The 18,318-nt window shown below is 37.0% G+C and overlaps 1 annotated feature.

Moving 5' to 3' along the window:
• Positions 10,152 to 10,446: an enhancer, noted in NCBI's record as "tiled region #1150; HepG2 Activating non-DNase unmatched - State 24:Quies". NCBI's record gives its function as "activates a minimal TATA promoter and a strong SV40 promoter by Sharpr-MPRA in HepG2 cells {active_cell/tissue: HepG2}" and the evidence as "EXISTENCE:reporter gene assay evidence [ECO:0000049][PMID:27701403]".

The following is an 18,318-nucleotide window of genomic DNA, read 5'->3' on the forward strand; positions in this document are numbered from 1 at the left end:
ATAAGACATGCCCACCAGGGCCATAAACTGCCCATTAATTGGTATACAAGTAAAAGTGGGTATGAATGTGAGTGCAGACTGTGTCTGAGCTGCTACTCTGGGCACACTGCCCATAGGGTAGCCTTGATCCACAAGGAGCAGTACCTCTGCTGCTGCTGTACACTGTTGCTTCAATAAAAGTTGCTGTTTAACACCAAGGGCTTGCCCTTGAATTCTTTCCAAGGGCAAAGCCAAGGACCTTCCTGAGCTAAGGACCTTCCTGGGCTGAGCCTCAATTTTGAGGCTTACCTGTCCTGCATCACTTTTAAGCTAAAACTTCAGAAGAGTGGACTCCTCATCCAGGATCCCTGTATCAAGTCCTTCTCAAATTGGTTCAAGACTCTCTTGCTAAAGAATAGCAATTTATCATTTAACTGCTTCAAAAACTGTGGTAATGGCCTGGCATGGTGGCTCATGCCTGTAATGCAAGCACTTTGGGAGGCGGAGGTGGGCAGATCACTTGAGGCCAGGAGTTCAAGACCAGCTTGGCCAACATGGCGAAACCCTGTCTCTACTAAAAACACAAAAATTAGTGGAGCGTGGTGGCACATGCCTGTAGTTCCAGCTACTCAGGAGGCTGAGGATTGCTTGAATCCAAGAGATAGAGGTTGCAGTGAGCAGGATTGGGGAACTGCACTCCAGCCTGCGCAACAGAGCGAGACTCTGTCTCAAACAAAACAAAACAAAGCAAAACAAAAAACTGTGGTAATTTAACATTTTACTTTTCACTAAAGTGCAAAATAAGACTGTTAGTGACTTGATTTAAAACAGCACATAACAAGATGTTTTCAGAGATAGCTTGCTTCTGGTTTTTAGGGCTGGATATTTGTATGTTCCTGTAAGGGCTCAATAGTCTTGGAAATGTCACTTCTTAGATTATACAAAGAGTGTCATTCCAAATCTCCATTTACTTTAGGGTTTGCAGATTGTTTAGAAGTTAGGAAGTTGATATGAATGTTAATAATTCTTAATATTAGTTAAATAAAGTTAAAACTTCAAGTGATATTTGCTGTTTGTAGTTTGGAAAAACTTTTTTTGTGTGTGTTTCATTTGCTTTTAATAGCATTACTGAGGTATAATTGACATACAAGAAACTTCATATATTAAGTGTGCAATGTGATGTTTTAGCTTATTTATATACCTATGAAACCATTACCACAATCATAATAGCGAACATACCTGTGACACTCCAAAATTTCCTTATGCCACTTTGTAATTCCTCCTCTCTTCCCTCTTTCCCATATCCCCGAGAAATCACTGATCTGTTTTCTGTGACTGTGTATTAGTTGGTATGTCTTCAGATTTAAGATACAGGGATTTAGCTAGTATGAACTATTTTTGTCTGGCTTCTTTCAGGCAACATAGTTATTTTGGATTCACCTATGTTGTGTGTCTCAATGAGTCATACTCCATGATATGGAATTGTACTCCATGATATGGACACACTACATTTTGTTGTCTTTTTTGGGTTGTTTTCAGCTTGGGCTATTATAATAAAGCTGCTATTAACATTCTTAGATAAATCTTAGTGTGGGAATGTACTTTCATTTCTCTAGGGTAAATATTTAGATATAGAATGGTGAGGTCCTATGGTTTATGTTTAATTTTTCAAAAGCTGCCAACTTGTTTTCCAAAGGGATTGCACCATTTTACATTCTTACTAGTAGTGGAGGAGAATTGCAGTTGCTCCATTATCTTTGCCAACATTTGATGTGGTCGGTCTTTTTAGTTTTAGCCATTCTAGGAGTTGTGTAGTGGTAACTCACTGTGGTTTTAATTTGCATTTCCCTAATGACTAAAGATGTTGGACATCTTTTCATATGCTTATCTGCCATTCATCCACCTTCTTTGCTGAAATGTCTGTTCAAATATTCTGACTATTTTGAAGTAATTATATGGCTTGGGTTTTATTTCCTGTCAAGCTTTGAGGGTTTAAAAAATATAGTCTTTATATTTTCTCTAAGTATGTGGCATTCCTTTTTTTCCCTCTTGGCAGTGGATTTTTAATAACACAAGTTTTAAAATTTGACAAAGCCAATTATCTTAGTCTACTGGGGCTGCTATAACAAAATATCATAGGTTGGGTAGCTTATAAACAACATGGCTGTATTTGTGACAGTTCTGGAGGCTGGAAAGTCCAAGAACAAGGCACCAGAAGATTGGATGTCTGGTGAGAGCCTATCTTCAGGTTCATAGATGGTGCTGTCTTGCTGTGTTCTTACATGGTGGAAGGAGCAAGCTAGATGTCTAGGTCCTCTTTCATAAGGGCACTGATCCCAGTCATGAGGGCTCTGCCATTATGATCTAATCACCCCTCAAAGGCCCTATTTCCTAATATCATTACCTTGGAGGTCAAAATCCCAATATATGAATTTTGGGAGGACACACACATTTAGATCACAGCACCGATTTATTGATTTTTAAAGATTTTTTAATTGTGTTTCTGGTGGTTTAGCACCTTTGAGCTTCTCAGTGATGTCCTTGGTCCAGTGCCACACAGGACTTACAGAGAATAGACATTGAGAATAGGTATACTTAAGACATGAGGACATTAAGCATCTCTACTTTGGTCTCTAGGCACAAAGCCAAAAAGGAAGAGATGCATCCTCCCCTTTCAGGAGGAAGTACACCATGGCTTTGGCACAATGTAGCTTCCAGAGATTTCTCACATTTAGCATCATGACAACTCAGCATCATGAGGCATGGCTACTGCAGATGTAGGGTCTCTGTGGCTGCTTCTTTTCAGGTAGTGGAAGCAGAATAGATTTGCTCCTGAGGACTCCCAGGTAGAAGCAGAGAGATTTCAAGAGAATCTGGGGATCCCAAAATTGTGACTGAGGGGACAAAGTCAGAAGAAATACGAGTTGTTACTACGAATGTGCCTTAATTCTATTCTCTAGGTGGGTATTATATGGTTAAATATGGGCAACACATTCTGATTAGGTTAATTTGAAATATTATATTTTAAATCCAATTTAATGAGGTATGAGAAAGAAAAAAAGATGGTAAAATCAACTGCTCATCAACATGTCTTTATTTTTAAAAAGCCTCTTGTTTTGCACAAAAATTATTTCCTTGCTGTTTAACTGTTTTCAGATGATGAAAACTTTGCTTTGACTTCTAACTGCAAATTAATTCCAAAGCTCTTACAGGTCTGTAAATGGTAAAGAATGCAGAGGACCAGATTAAAAAAAAATTGTCTACCTTTAAGTTCATGTTGGTGTATAATGGATTATCTTTCTATTGCTATGCTTTCCTCATTTGTTTTTGAGAAATAAAACACAGTCACTGACATGAAAATGTTAAACTAAAGAGATTTTATGTCAGAGTATACTATCGGGGGTGATAAGCTGTAAATGCTACTACCCACTTATTTGTGAATGGGTAATTATCGTAAACATCGATGGTGATGCTCCAAACATGTGCCACCTGGATCAAGCATTGCTTTCGTGATAAATACAGAAGTTGGCTTCACAAATCTTCATTCTGGTGACTCTCACAGTGGCCTTTAGTGCCTACAGCCCGTCAGAGTAACTAAAGGGGAAGATGGCTGCATAGAGCCTCAGGGTTGGCTAAGGAGGACACAACCTCCAGGTATCATGACCCCCCTAAAAGAAAAAATTTTATGTTGTTAGAAAACATGAATATTTCTCAAATGGATATAGTATCATATGAGAATAATAATAATACAAGTATTAAAGTAATGTCTTCTTAGAAACTTTGGGCACTATTTTCCCCAGGGGACTTCATTGATTACTCTGATATTAACAGCCATTTCCTCAAAACAGGTTTATTTTTTATTTTCATTATCTTTCTAACAGTCTTTAGATTTTTAAACTTTTCACTGGCAGCTTAAACTTAATTTTCACTGTTGAAAATGAAAGATATTATCTTTCCTTCTAAGCTATTACATATCCCCCCTCCCCGTCTTCTTACCTCTCCTACTCTTGACAATACACTTTTTTGCTTATACCATGGAAGAGAGGCAGAAGAGGCCCAGTCTAGAATAGAGAGCATATGAAGATTCTGGCAGGTAGAAAAGGACCTAGGAAAGTATTTAGGATTTAGCAACTTGTTTGTTTGTTGTTTACATTTCAACATGTTGATTTTCCTAGAAACTACATTTAGGAAAATCAACATGTTGAAATATAAACAACAACAGCAACAACACCCTTTTAGCCCCTCCTTGCCTGATTGTAGGTTATACCAAACTATGAGACTACTGTTCTTCTCAGGAAAGGATTATTAAGAATTATGATGTGTCTAAGATTTCACCCTAATTGCAAGCTAACAAGTGAGCCTGCTACAGTTTAATGGAGGCTGGCAGAAGACATTGGAATTCTGGGGCATAGGGTGGCACAAATACTCACAGCACAGCAAGCTGTGTGAGCCATCAGCAGACTTGGGTTTGTTCCCTTTGCCCCCAAGTTCCACAGAGGTGACAGATAGGCCCAGGTAGATTCCTTCACAGGCAGTGGGTTGAGTTATAGGAGAGGAATGCTGAGCTTAGGGAACTTGAATCTTTTTTTGTTTTTTTGAGACAGGGTCTTATACTGTCACCCAGGCTGGAGTGCAGTGGTGTGGTCTCGGCTCACTACAACCTCTGCCTCCTGGGTTCAAGTGATTCTCTTGCCTCAGCCTCCCAAGTAGCTGGGATTACAGGTACCTGCCACCACGCCTGGCTAATTTTTGCACTTTTATTTCTTTTAGTAGAGATGGGTTTCGCCACATTGACCAGGCTGAACTTGAACTCCTGACCTCAAGTGATCTGCCTGCCTCGGCCTCCCAGAGTACTGGGATTATAGGTGTGAGCCACCGCACGTGACCGGGAACTGGAATCTTTTATAACAGATAACATGTGTGCCTGCTTTTGCTCTGGATAGAGACATTATAACTTTCAAGTTTTGTATAACTTTACAAAAATCACTGAAAACATAGTTCAATATAAATGCTGTTAAGTGCCTTGTTTTGCGAGAGGAGTGGAAACAGGAGAGACTCATGGGGAATTGTCTCCGAACGAGGTTAAAAAGACCTATCTCCTTTCCAAAGCCAGTTGGTCAGAATTTATGTCTTTCTGAAAGCAAATAGAAGACCAATACTCAGTGGTGTGCTGACAAATGTTTAACACCTGGTTCTCTGTAAAACGGAAAAGAAAAAAAAACTCTGATTTGCAGCACTGGCTGATTTCTATAGTGTAAATACTTCATCATAGCTGATTCCAAGCCACCAATAAAACATCACTGAACTTGGAGTTGGGGAGAGAGTCACAGTAATACACCATTATATAGTATTTCTGCCATATACATATAATAGACATAAATAATCTAAAGAGAATAGATAATACTATAATTTAATAAAATAAGTAGGAATCGATGAGTTAAGACTATTTATTGGCTTTCAATTATTCCTCCTGTTTGGTTAATGGAGCTCCATTGGCCTCATTCTTCAAAACCAAGTCCCTTCTGTAGCGATGTTCTTTTTGCTCTACTACCTCATTTAAAACTCCTTTCTCTTATTTAAGGCTAATATAATATTTTATAACCTATTTATTCCTCAACACAATCTGGTTAACGTAAATAAATATGATCTACTATGTCCAACTTAGATTATGTTAGAAATAACAGAAGATAGATAATTTCGGGCATTCTCTTTCCATTGATTGTCTTCAGTAGTATGAGTGAGTGTGAATAGAAAACATTTGACTTTTTCTGAGAATTTGATATAATCTTTCCAGATTTTTTGAGGATTATATAGAACTACCTCTGTATAGTCTGTCGCAAATCCTTAGGATATTTCATGGGCTTCAAGCTTCCAACCAAAAACAGTGCCAATTTTCCTAATGGTTGCTAATTCAGATTCAAATACAACAAACACTTATGAATACCTATAATGTGCCACATATGAGGCTAACCAAATGATTTCACATATGTATCTTGTTTAATCCTTAAACAAAGCTATAAAGTGGGTACTAATTCCATTTTACAGACGGGGAAACTGAGGTTAGTCTTGAGTTCTTTATATTTTGGGAAGCAAATGTGATTATTATGTGTCCCTACCATGATCAGTATATAGACATTAATTATCAAACACTCACAGCATTTCTTAGTAGAGAACCCTTGACTTAGGTAAATGAGGTTGTTCTAACGGCTCCAAGAAAGGAATTCTGTGTGAGTTGGTTCTACATTTACACTATAACAATAATTTAGAATGACACTGTGGGCCACACATCACTAAAAGTATACAAGAAAATTTCAAATGAAAGTAATTAAATAATGTGTTCATCACATAAGAAGCTGTAACTCAATTTCAGGAAAAGTCACTATCAGTATCATCATTAAAAATAGTGCCTGGATCTACGTAAGTGCACCGATGAATTTTTTTCAGGTGATTTAAACTCAGACTGTATGAAAAAAAAATCAAGCTTTTTGTAGGTGGTTATTTCATCCTGACAGAATATCTTCTCTCTCAAGAAAGAGTAAAAGGCCATAAGAAAATCAGTAAAGACTAAGTTAAGTATAGCTGCAGTGAGTTGTTCAAGATAAAATAATAGACTGACAACTTTATTTGATAATACTAAAATAGGTGGGAAAATGAGAATTATTCACATAATTTGGTTCGTTGTGCTACTATCACCTACCTTATCAAGCAGAAAATAAATTGCTCTCTGTCCACAATTAATAAAAATGCTACAGCTGCATGGTAGGAGTCTGGACATAGATTAGCAAGGTTATGTTTAATTTGTGGGCATATGGATATCATCATTTCAGTGGATATCTTTCACATCCATTTATATCCATCATTTCTGTGGATGTATTTTTAATGATAGATATCATCTGTCATCTAAAAGACTGTATAATGCAATAGAAAATTTGGTATATATGATTATTATTAATTATATTAATTAAAATTAATTAAAATTTATTTAAATGTGTCAGACATAATGCTAAATAGATTCAATGCATTTTGTTATTATAATTTGAGTTCATATAATCATTGTTTTATATATATTATATATATTTTTATATATATATATATATATATATGAAGTTTATTGAGTGTCCATATCAGAGATATTTTGACCTCGTATTGATATGGACTCTTTGAGAATTTGTTTAAAGCTATAGACCTGCTTAAGGAAAGATGCAAATATGTACATGAACATAAATGTTTGCATATAATATTAGGGGAACCATGAAATCCCTGATGCCCATCCCTGAATTTCGACCTTACGAATCCTTATTCTGCATGTCTTAGAACAGTGCTTATAGAATGTAATTGCAATCACATTTTTGTTTCCAAACCCTACTTATTTTAATTAATATTTGGCAGCTTAGAAGTTAAAGGATAGAATTTTGATAAATATGTTAATAATATTGTATGAAGAATGTATTCTTATCCTGAGGAAACAACTGGAAGATACAATATATGCCAAGAGTGTCAAATGAAGAAGTTTATAGTAAGGTAGAACTGGAAACGATTTAAATGTCAGGAGTGTAGGATAAACAGATCATGCTATAACAAATGTCATGAAGCCATTTGAATTGGAGATGCACATTAATATTTAATGTCTATAGCATATCACTGTGTCAAAAAGCAGGCTTCTAAGCAGCATATGTACTATGTTTTGAAGTATATATATATATACACACTTTATATATATATTTATATATATATATGAAGTATTTAAAATATATATATATATATTTTTTTCCATAGGTATGTGGAAAAAGTCTAGGACAGTCCTTAGTTTTGTTCTTAAAATATTCAAGCTTGCTTGAGTAAAGAGATCTCATTGATGGGCTACGTAAGAAATTGTAAGAGAAATCTCCTGGGAATCCAGGAGTTGAAGCCATTATACAGCTGATGTCATGAAGTCTGGAGCTAGAGGAAGTTCTGGCTTTAAGGAGGCTCCAGGGGATCAGAATTTGGAGGCTTCCCTCTAATACTGCCGTTTAATGTGGCTCAGTCACACAGTGACTGTGACTCCCAGCTTCTTTCTGTTCCATTTTCAACTGGCGTGTGCATAATGCCTGCTTCTTGTAAATTTAACTTGCCTGTAGAACAGTATGGTTTCTTTAATTCATAACCTTTTGGTTTCAGAACTTATTGCTGTTTTTTAGTTTAAATTCTGAAGACAGAAATTATTACTTGGAATCTTATTGATCTGAGTTAGTTGCTGGACAATCAGTTGATTAGTTTTCTACGGAGATGCCTACCTACAGCTGGAGTAATGGGAGAAGGTGTAAGTTTCACATCGTAGAAGCTATGTATGGGTAGGGTAATTTCATTTAGAAAAGACCTAGGTAGGTCGGCAGTATAAAGAAGGCCTAATGAGAAGGATTATGTACCAGAAAATTAATAGTGGCTATCTCCAGATAGTAGAATCATACAGCAAGTCCTCACTTAACAATGTGGGTAGGTTCTTGGAAACCATGACTTAAATACAACAAGATATAACAAAACCACTTTTACCATAGACTGATATAAACAAAAATTAAGTCCCTATGGCATATCACTGGTCATGAAACATCACCAAACTTCTAAATAAACACCCAAAACACTTCTACTAGGTACTGAAATAAATGTCAGCTATATATATATTGAAGAAAAATTAATAAAAACACAGTAATGATTTACCCAATTTTTGGTGAATGAGTGAGTGATGACAATTGTTGTGGTGGTGGCTTAAATTAAGGAATAAATGCTTAATTGTAATTGTAAGTGAAATTTGTAAGGAGCAAAAATTGTAAGGAGCACCTCTTCCTACCATGAAGTTCAAAAACAATCACAAATATGGTGGTTTGATGAATGCTTTCCTACTGCCTCATTCATTGTCCTGCATTTGTATGGTTATCATAAACTTGACTGATTTTTATCTTACAACAATTTGTATCCATTCATTCATTTCCCAACCTGCTTATTCCAGTTCAGAATTGCTGGTGACTGGAGCCTATGTTGGCAGCTCAGGGTGCAGGGCACGAACCTGTGCTGGACAGGATACCATCCCATTACAGGGCGCACTGACACATAAACACACACACACACACTCACTCATATGAGGACAATTAAGACACACCTAATGTGCACATCTTTGGGATGTGGGAGGAAATCAGAGGACCTGGAGGAAACCCACACAGGCATGGGGGAGAGCATGCAAACTCCACACAAACAGTGGCCCCCACATCTGATTCCTTTTTTCATGAATATTATAACTAAACAAAATTATTTGGGTAGCTGCTGTAAATGATTTTTTTTTGAAAATATGTATTTTGCGTGTTTCTCTACTTTCAAATTTGCCTATAGTGATTGTGCATGATTTGAGAAACAGAGAAATAATATCACTACAATGTGGTTTGTACTTTTTCCTCTGTAATTTGTAGTTTTGTTCTAATTCTATTTGGTAGAAAAATTTCAAATTCTAGCAATATAGTGTTGCTTTAGAAAAGAAGATATATACTGGCAAAAAAAAAAAAAAAAAGGAAAACAAGCGTTTGTATTTCAACCAATCTGAGCCAGTACTGGGTACCATTTTTAGTTGCTTAGCTTTATTTAGCAAGTGCTGGAGCTGGGGAGATACAGAGATAGATACTCCAAGACAGGGCCTCTGACCTTAAGTTCAGTCCACTAAATATTTACTGAGTATTTTAATATACAACAGATATCCAGAGTGATAATATACAATCACTGCATCCTCAAAGATCTAGGAATACAGTTAATTACAGGAACAGGAAAATAAAATTAATAATGCAAGATAATATATATGAAGGTCAAATGAGTGACCTGAGAGTTCAGAGGAGTGAGAAATCATTTCAAGTTGGAATGAATAAAAAAGACTTCATGGGAGATGTGGAATTTGAATAAGTCTTATTGGATGGGGAATGCTTGAGTAAATGGTATGATAGAGGGCATTATTTTATAGGGGGAATAGCTAACAAAAGGTATATAGATAGGAAGGCACAAGGCACATTTGGGAGACATGCATGAACCTGTTTAGTGGGTTCAAATTGCAGAGTGGTGGTAGATAACACCGGAACGGTGTCTTAGTCCACTTTGCATTGCTACAAAGGAATACCTGAGGCTGAGTAATTGATAAAGAAAAGAGGTTTATTAATACTTGGCTCATAGTTCGGCCCACTGTACATGGCACCAGCATTTGCTTCACTGGTGAGGGCCTCAGGAAGCTTCCACTTATGGCAAAAGGCAAAGGGGAGTCAGCGTCACATGGTTGGAGAGGAGTAAAGTTGGGGGAGGGGATTTCAGGCTTTTAACCCACCAGTATTCCCATGAACTAATAGGGTAAGAATGTGCTCAATCCTGGGAGAGTGACACCAAGCCATTCATGAAGGATCCACCCCCATGACCCAAACACCTCCTACTAGGCCCCACCTCCAATACTGGGGATGAAATTTTAACATAATATTTGGAAGGGGCAAATATCCAAACTATATCAAATGGCAAGTAGAGATGAGATCTGATGGAAAGCATTCCTAATATGCATTCATAAAATGCTTCATAAAACTTTTTTTTTAATGTTTCAGTTTCAACTGTGTGTTAGTCTGTTTTGTGTTGCTGTAATGGAATACCTGAGACTTGATAATTTACAAAGAAAAGAGTTTTATTTGGCTCATGGTTCTGCAGGCTGTACAAGAAGCATGGTGCCAGCATCTTCCTGAGGTCAGGACCTCAGGAGGCTTTTCCTCATTGTGAAAGGTGAACAGGAAGCAGAGCAAGAGAGAGAGAAGGAAGGTCCCAGATACATTTTAACAACCAGAACTTTCATGAACTTAGAGTGGGAGCTCACCCATTACTGTCAGGAGGGCACCAAGACATTCATGATCGATCTGTCCACGTGACCCAAACACCTCCCACTAGTCCCTACCTCCAACACTGGCAATCACAGTTCAACATGAGATTTGTAGGGGACACAGAGCCAAACCATCTCACGATGTAAGCTTTCTTGGGCTGAAAAGCTAGGCTGTGTGTGATAAGGAGATAGTAATCTGTTGTGTTATACTTGCCTCTCACTTCTCACTCACCCATGAACCCCATTTTAAGAGGTACTTAGAATCCTCTGTAATGAATGAGAGCCAAAAGACCCTCTTCACATCACACTGGCTTTCTTATGTTGTCCTGGGATTTTGATCTAGAACTTTGAATCTGGCTTTGCCACTCCGGCTATTTTCCACGCTGTTTACTACTCTCTTCACTTTGATGGATGCCTTAATTCAGGTTATCGGTCTTGGCCTAGGGCATTATACACCATGATTCTAATTTTTGATTCTCAATTCCAAGGTCTTCCTTAGATCCCAATCTATAGTACTCAGTTAGGATCCCTAATGTAGAGAAATTTGGCATAGAAAGGAGTCTTCTTTGTTTTATCTCTGAAAATTTATTGGATGAAGTACAAAAAGTGGTTTGTATGTGTTTAAATAAATTAGCTCTTGGGAAGGCAATTTTGTAGCATAGTCCCCAAGGACAATGTTATACTGATGGTAATTTCATACACTGGTTTATAAATTTGATGTACATTGTATCATGGTAGCAATTAAACCCCCAAGTCTCTTTTACAAATGTTTTAAAATGCTTTTCCTATTCCACCTACTCTCCTTGCTTGTCCTTCGCAAATCCTACCATCTGCAAAAGACAAAATAATTATCTTTATAAAGTAGCATACTTGAGCTGTGTTCATAAAATGCTCAATTATTCTGATAGATGGTCACTGGATATGAGTGAGATAGTGGGAGAGGCCCATTAATGAATGTCATTGGTCAGTTTCCACCTCACTTGGCCCCACTCAGCTGCAGATACAGAAGCTCTTCCCTGCAGCAGGCTTCTCTCCTACCCAACTCCAAACTCATGCCGCCCAAGGCAGCAGTCTGTCAGTGGGCTCAGATGTAGCTAGTGATGGTCTGGAATAAGTTCACATTGAGTATCCCTAAGCATCTTCCCAATTCTCCCATATCATGTTTGCCCAAGTCTTATGACAGCATTCTGTGCATGATTTCCTTTTCTGTACTCTAGTTTTACCTTCAGGATGAATGTTATGCTTCTAACCCCAGCCCTTTTGGTTAGACCTTATACTCTTCCCACATCTTGTCAACAATTTCATGTGAATTCTCCCTAGAACACTCTTAAGAGCAAAAGGACAGCTCAGAACCGCAAAATTGACACGGCTCTGGTTCTTAGGAGGGCCGCCTGAGTATCCTTATTAGAGTAATTGACCCAGAGTTTGTCACCTCTCTTTGCAGTGTTTGAAGTGTTGCTTACTGCTCTATCCTGAAGGTTGTATAAGGAAATATGCATAAGAACACATTTAGTTTAGCAACTACTTATTTAATTCTTAATACGTAGAGGAACAAGCAAGGTAAATGTTTAGGAAGTTAGGTGTGCATTGCCTTCTTTTGGTATGTAACATAACAATTATTGTTTATCCAAAAGAATGTGAGACATCTGTTTTACAATTTATAGCTACACATTTTTTTCTGTACAGTAGCTTTAAAATTTCTAATGACTATATCTTTAAACCTTTATCTTTAAAATTAAAATTGCATTTTCAAATGAGTGCTGAGTTTTTATATAGTAATATGTGACTAGATATCCATTTAACGATGCTATTCTAGAAAATGTTTGATGCTTCATATAATTCGCCTATTGTATTTACTGAGTGCCTACTAAGTGCAAGGAACTGTATGCTCTATGCTGTAAAGCATATAAAATGAATAAAGCATGGTCCTTGCCCTCTAATATGGAGGGATTAAGACATTACACATAGACATAGAGCATGGTAGGCAATATAATCTTTAAAGGACAACAAAGTTGTTTGATTAATATTGGCATGATCTTAGCTCTTGGCCATGATGCAAATTATGCCTGGCTTAATTGTCTCCATCAGTTTGAAGGAGCAGACGCTGAGGTGTATAGACAGATGCAGAGATTCCCTTGGGGGCACTTAATCTGTGCCTTCTTATGGAGATGGGGGATGCCCACTGATTTCAATTGACATTACTTTCATTAAGAACAGTGTGGCAGGCCTTTTCTCAAACTGTATTCAGCTATGTACAACCTGTGTCTGAACATTCTTCAGCAGCTACAAAGATAGCCTAGTGGATGACAAAATGCATATCTTCATGTCAAGCTAATTTGGGGAACATTTCATCACTTAGCTTCACAATGTGAAGAACATTAGTAATTCAGTGGCGTATGAATTTCCATCCATTCCCTTTGTGAAGATGTTTACACTGCATAAAAATGGTGGCGGGCTGGAGGGTTGGGAAGAGCAGGGTCCTGGAGTGGGGTCATGTTTTTGTGTCGCTTTGACACCCTGTCCCCATGGTTCCTTTCCTTCCAGAATGTCGGTGGCTGCAGCGACAGTGGAGCGAATACCTGGCTGAAGGTGGGGTGGCGGTTTATTAGCACCTATGCTCCTCGCTGGTGATGTCCTTCATGCTAACTCTGTCTGGGTTATTCAGGAATCTTTTTTTAAAAAGTTTCTTTTCTATACTTTTGGATTTATTCAGAATAAGGTTTGGTGTGAAACTGTTTCTTCTGGGTTGGAACAAAGAATTTTTTAAATGCAGATTTTGTGAGGGAAGAAGATTCCAGACATTAGATCTCTCGGGAACTGCCCATCTGTGAAAAAATTATATTCCTGTTGGACTAGAGTGTTGGCAATTGCAAAATGGACTGCTACTGCGAGCCATTTATTCTGTCTCACTGGACAGAGTAAATTGTTTCCTAATTGGAGTTATGTCATGACATGAACTGTAAAATATGGTAGCAATAACTTAGTCTCAGCTTAAAGAAATGACAGAAAATCATCTGCTTTCACAGAAAGCATTTCTTTTTCAACTAGAATGTGAGATAATGTTAAAAAAAGTAAAACTTTTCTGCAACACTATTTTACACATTAATTTACAATACATTTTTTGCAATATTTTAAAAGAACTAATTAAAACCTATTTTCTGTATGTGCTCAAAAATAAATAACATCATTTTAAATAAGTAAATCGGTTTTTTGAACATAATCTCATTGATCATTTTATGTCCTATAGATCATAGACATAATTGCTGGCTTTAGGATGAAATCTGTGGTATAGAAAACTTGACTGCCAGATATTAAGACATATGTATGTATGTAACAAATACGCACACACACACTCATACACACACATACACATATGCACACACACACTATGTCTGTATTAAAAACATCCATTAACAAATTATGGTATTTAGTATATGACAATTGTGGAATTTAAGAAGTAATAGACAAAAGGATTATTCTAAATGATGTCAAGATAATTGGCTATCTAATTAGATCTCTATACTGCATCTTTCACAAACACACACTCCAAATTGATTTAAGACCTGGACATTAAAAACAAAAAAAAAACCCAAACTACAAAAGTGCTAGAAGAAAAGGAATGAAACGTATTTTAATAATTTGGGATGACGAAGGACTTTCTCAGCATGATAGAAAACCTAGAAATCATAGAAGAAAATATCAATATATTATAACTTTATATTATCTTTTATTTGAAAAGGTAATAGAAAGTTAAAAGATAAGTGAGAGATTGGGAAAAAATATATGCAACATATTTAAAGGCAAAGATTAATGTTTAGAATATTTTACTAATAATCTACTAAGAAGAATAAAAAAGACAATTAGCCACATTAAAAAAATGACAAAGAATATAAACAAGAAATTTATGGAAGAGCAGATATAAATCTCCAATAAGCTTAAAAAAGGATTCATCGGCTGAGTGCGGTGGCTTACACCAGTAATCCCAGCACTTTGGGAGGCCGAGGTGGGTGGATCACTTGAGGTCAGAACTTTGATTCGAGCCTGGCCAACATGGTGAAACTCTGTCTCTACTAAAAATACAAAAAAAAAAAAAAAAAAAAAAATTAGTGGGGGTAGTGGCACACATCTGTAACCTTGGCTACTCAGGAGGCTGAGGCAGGAGAATTGCTTGAATCTGGGAGGTGGAGGTTGCAGTTAGCAGAGATTGTACCACTGCACTCTAGCCTGGGCGACAGAGCAGTACTCTGAAAAAAAAAAAAAAAAAAAAAAAAAAAGGATTCCTTTATAAAGGGAGAATTAAACAGTAACAAGATACTATATTCCCCACCCAACTGGCAACATTTCAATTGATTAATAACATCCACACTTGGTGAGGAAAAGTGGACATTCTCATGTTGTATTGATGAGAGTAAATACAGGTATAGCTTTTCCATACTAAAAGCTCTATCTGTCAATTGACATCATCTATCAAAATTAAAAATATGCATGACCTTTGACCCAGCAGTTTCACAAGGAATCCTACTTCTAGAGTTCTATCCGACAGAAATGTTAGCTTAATTATATAAAAAAAGTCACAAGATACTAATTGCAGTGTTGTTAACTAGTCAAAAATTGGAGAAAAACTCTCAATCTTTGGGAAAATGTTTGAATCAATTACAGAATATTCATCAAAGGAAATTCAGGTAGCAGTTAAGAAGGAAGAAGCAGATTCACATGTACTGACTTGGAAAACTATTCATTGTAAGTAAAAGAAAAAGCACACTGCAAAACCATATTCATAGCCTGATTCTATTTTCATTTTGGAAAAGAATAACAACAAAAATATGTGTTCCTATAAACACAGAATAAAGTCTGGAAGAATATAAAACAATCTCTTGATGGTGGCTACAGGGATGGGGGCTGAAGTGTCAGGAGAGAAAGGAAGGAGGAGTTTCCCTTTTCATTTCATATACAAAAAAAGTGAGATTATGAGTGATTTTGGCTTTTTTGCTTTTGTATATTTAACATCATTTTTTTCATTGTAGACACACATTTCTTCTGTATTCAAAAAACAAATGTAACCTTGAAAAGATAATTCTTGAAGGATGGATTAAAAAGATGAGTGACTGGAGACAGGAAAACAATTTAGGAGACTTTAAAAGACCCTGGGGAGGGCTGTGAGGGGTGGACCCAGGGCAGAGATGAAGGGATTGTGAAGTGGGGGACTGAGGTGAGACTCTGGAAGGTGAAGCTTAAGAGGAGAGACCAGCTCTGACACACAGATGATGACTAATCTGGGGTTGGAGCCTCAACTCCTAGTCCAGTGCTTTCTCAGTATCTCCCAAAAGGCCTCATGTAAGAGGTACCATCAGCCCATCACACAGCTCCACACAGACTCTTGGGGCCTGGGACTTGGGTGTGGATGCACACAGAGCACACTCGAAGCAGATAACAAAACCTATGTTAGCTAGTTCCTGTATAGGCAGCAATTTCAGTTCTCATTTCCCACTTACATGTTGTCACATGAGACCAGGTAAAAGCAACATCATCTTTTCCAAGGGTCCCTTGGGCTGTTCTGTGTTGCATGGTGACCTGAAGCTTATAGCACCATTGCATCAGCCTTCTCAGGGACAAGCAAGCATCTCTCTGACTGACTCCATAGGAACCCAGAATTCCTTCCTGCACTCCACTTGAAGCCTGACTATAGTATGTAGTCTGCACAACCCATGCTCAAACCTTTTGGTTCCTGTTTACAAAGATCTGCTCATAAGCATGAGGCAATCCACACAGGGTCTGCTCTGAAGCCAGCTTCATCATTGCTGTAAACAGTTATTGGGAAAATTTTTGATTGTGGCCAAGCCATGTCTCACCCTTGAGCTCCTTCCAGACCCCTGGGCACACCAGCTAATGTGCATAACCAACAGCTCAACATAGGGTAGGCAGTGTCACACAAAGGATATTAATTTCATGTGGGATACCTCTCTCTGGGGCATGCTGACTTTTTATTTGTTTATACAGAAACAATTGTTAAAACATCTGCTACAATACTGTGAAATCTTTTTGAAAATTGGACCTTTTGCTCGAGCAGCACAGCTGAGAAAGCTCGTGTTTATCAAAGTAGAGATAAATTGTATGTTGACAAAATGAATTCAGTGGAGTATCTGTTATAACATTTCATGAGAGCAAGTACAATGTCAACCAAAGCTTTCCTGCATTAAATAGGAAATACCTTTGTCTGTTTGAAGCTTTAAAGCTCATTAGTATGCTATTACCTTGACTTTTTAAAATTGTATGACTCTATCATATAGAATGCTCCATATAAACTTTTGTGGAAAACAATTTTAAATACAATTCAAAATATATCTGAGGGCTGACCTGGTATGGTAGAGAAGATATGTTCAAAATGTCATTACTTTTTCTCCTTCGGTAGAAGATTGAACAACTTTTCTGATTTTAAAGTTATTACATGCTCACATCAGCATCCCTAAGGAGCTGATATTGACCTATGAACATGCAAAAGCAATAGTCCTGCTGTTTTGCTTCTATAATGCAACAGAAAAACATTTGGCTTATACAATTAAGATAATCTGATTGCATCACAGACCTGTCTTTTTTGAGTTTAAGTGATTTCTGTCTCGTGTTGTATGGAAGAAAATATAATTTTTCCCATCTTTTAGTATCAGAAAATTTGCAGATCTTGTTGCTGAATGGCTTATCTTTAGAAGAAATTTTGAAATTGCAACATGAGTACCAGTTTTCACATGTGATAATTGATATGATTTACTGGTAGCTTTTTTAAGCAGAAGCATGTGTCTGGTGGGAAGTGAAAATTCAATCTGTTTGTGGTTTGCCCTCCTTGATATCAATCACGGATTTTAACTGATTTGCCTAGTTGCTTAGGCATCTTGTAGAGAAATTTTAGAATGAAGAAACTCCAGTGTATTAAATTCAATCTGTTACCTTGCTGATCAAGACACTTGCTTTTGCTGGGCTCAATTTGCTCCATTTCTCTCTCTCTCTCACGCACGCGCACGCACACACACACACAATCAGAATGAAATAACAGCAGAGACATTTTAATCTGCTTTAGAGAAAAATAAAAAGTGTAGTATTGTTTAATCTATTTTAGAGAAACATAAAAATATAGTATTACTAGGACTCTGTCTTTTCTGTTTAAGTAATATGCTACGCCAATATTGTGATGCCTAGCTGGTAGCTTGAGATCTGACCTCACAATGACAATGCTTTATTGCTCCCTTCATGCAGATGCCTGGTAACCAGGAGTCCTAGTTTAGCTCTTCAACACTCTTAGAAAATAATCTTTAGTTTCAGTGTATTTGAAAGCCTATTGATCTGCCACTAGTTAGACCCATAGACTAGCCACACCAGGTTTCTTACCCAAATTTTAACCCTGAAGATCCTACTACTTAATCATTTTCAAAAACTCCATTTAGAAGAACAAAATGAATACATTTTACTATTTAATATTTAAAACC

Source organism: Homo sapiens, chromosome 13 (assembly GCF_000001405.40).
Source record: "Homo sapiens chromosome 13, GRCh38.p14 Primary Assembly".
Taxonomy (NCBI): Eukaryota; Metazoa; Chordata; class Mammalia; order Primates; family Hominidae; genus Homo; species Homo sapiens.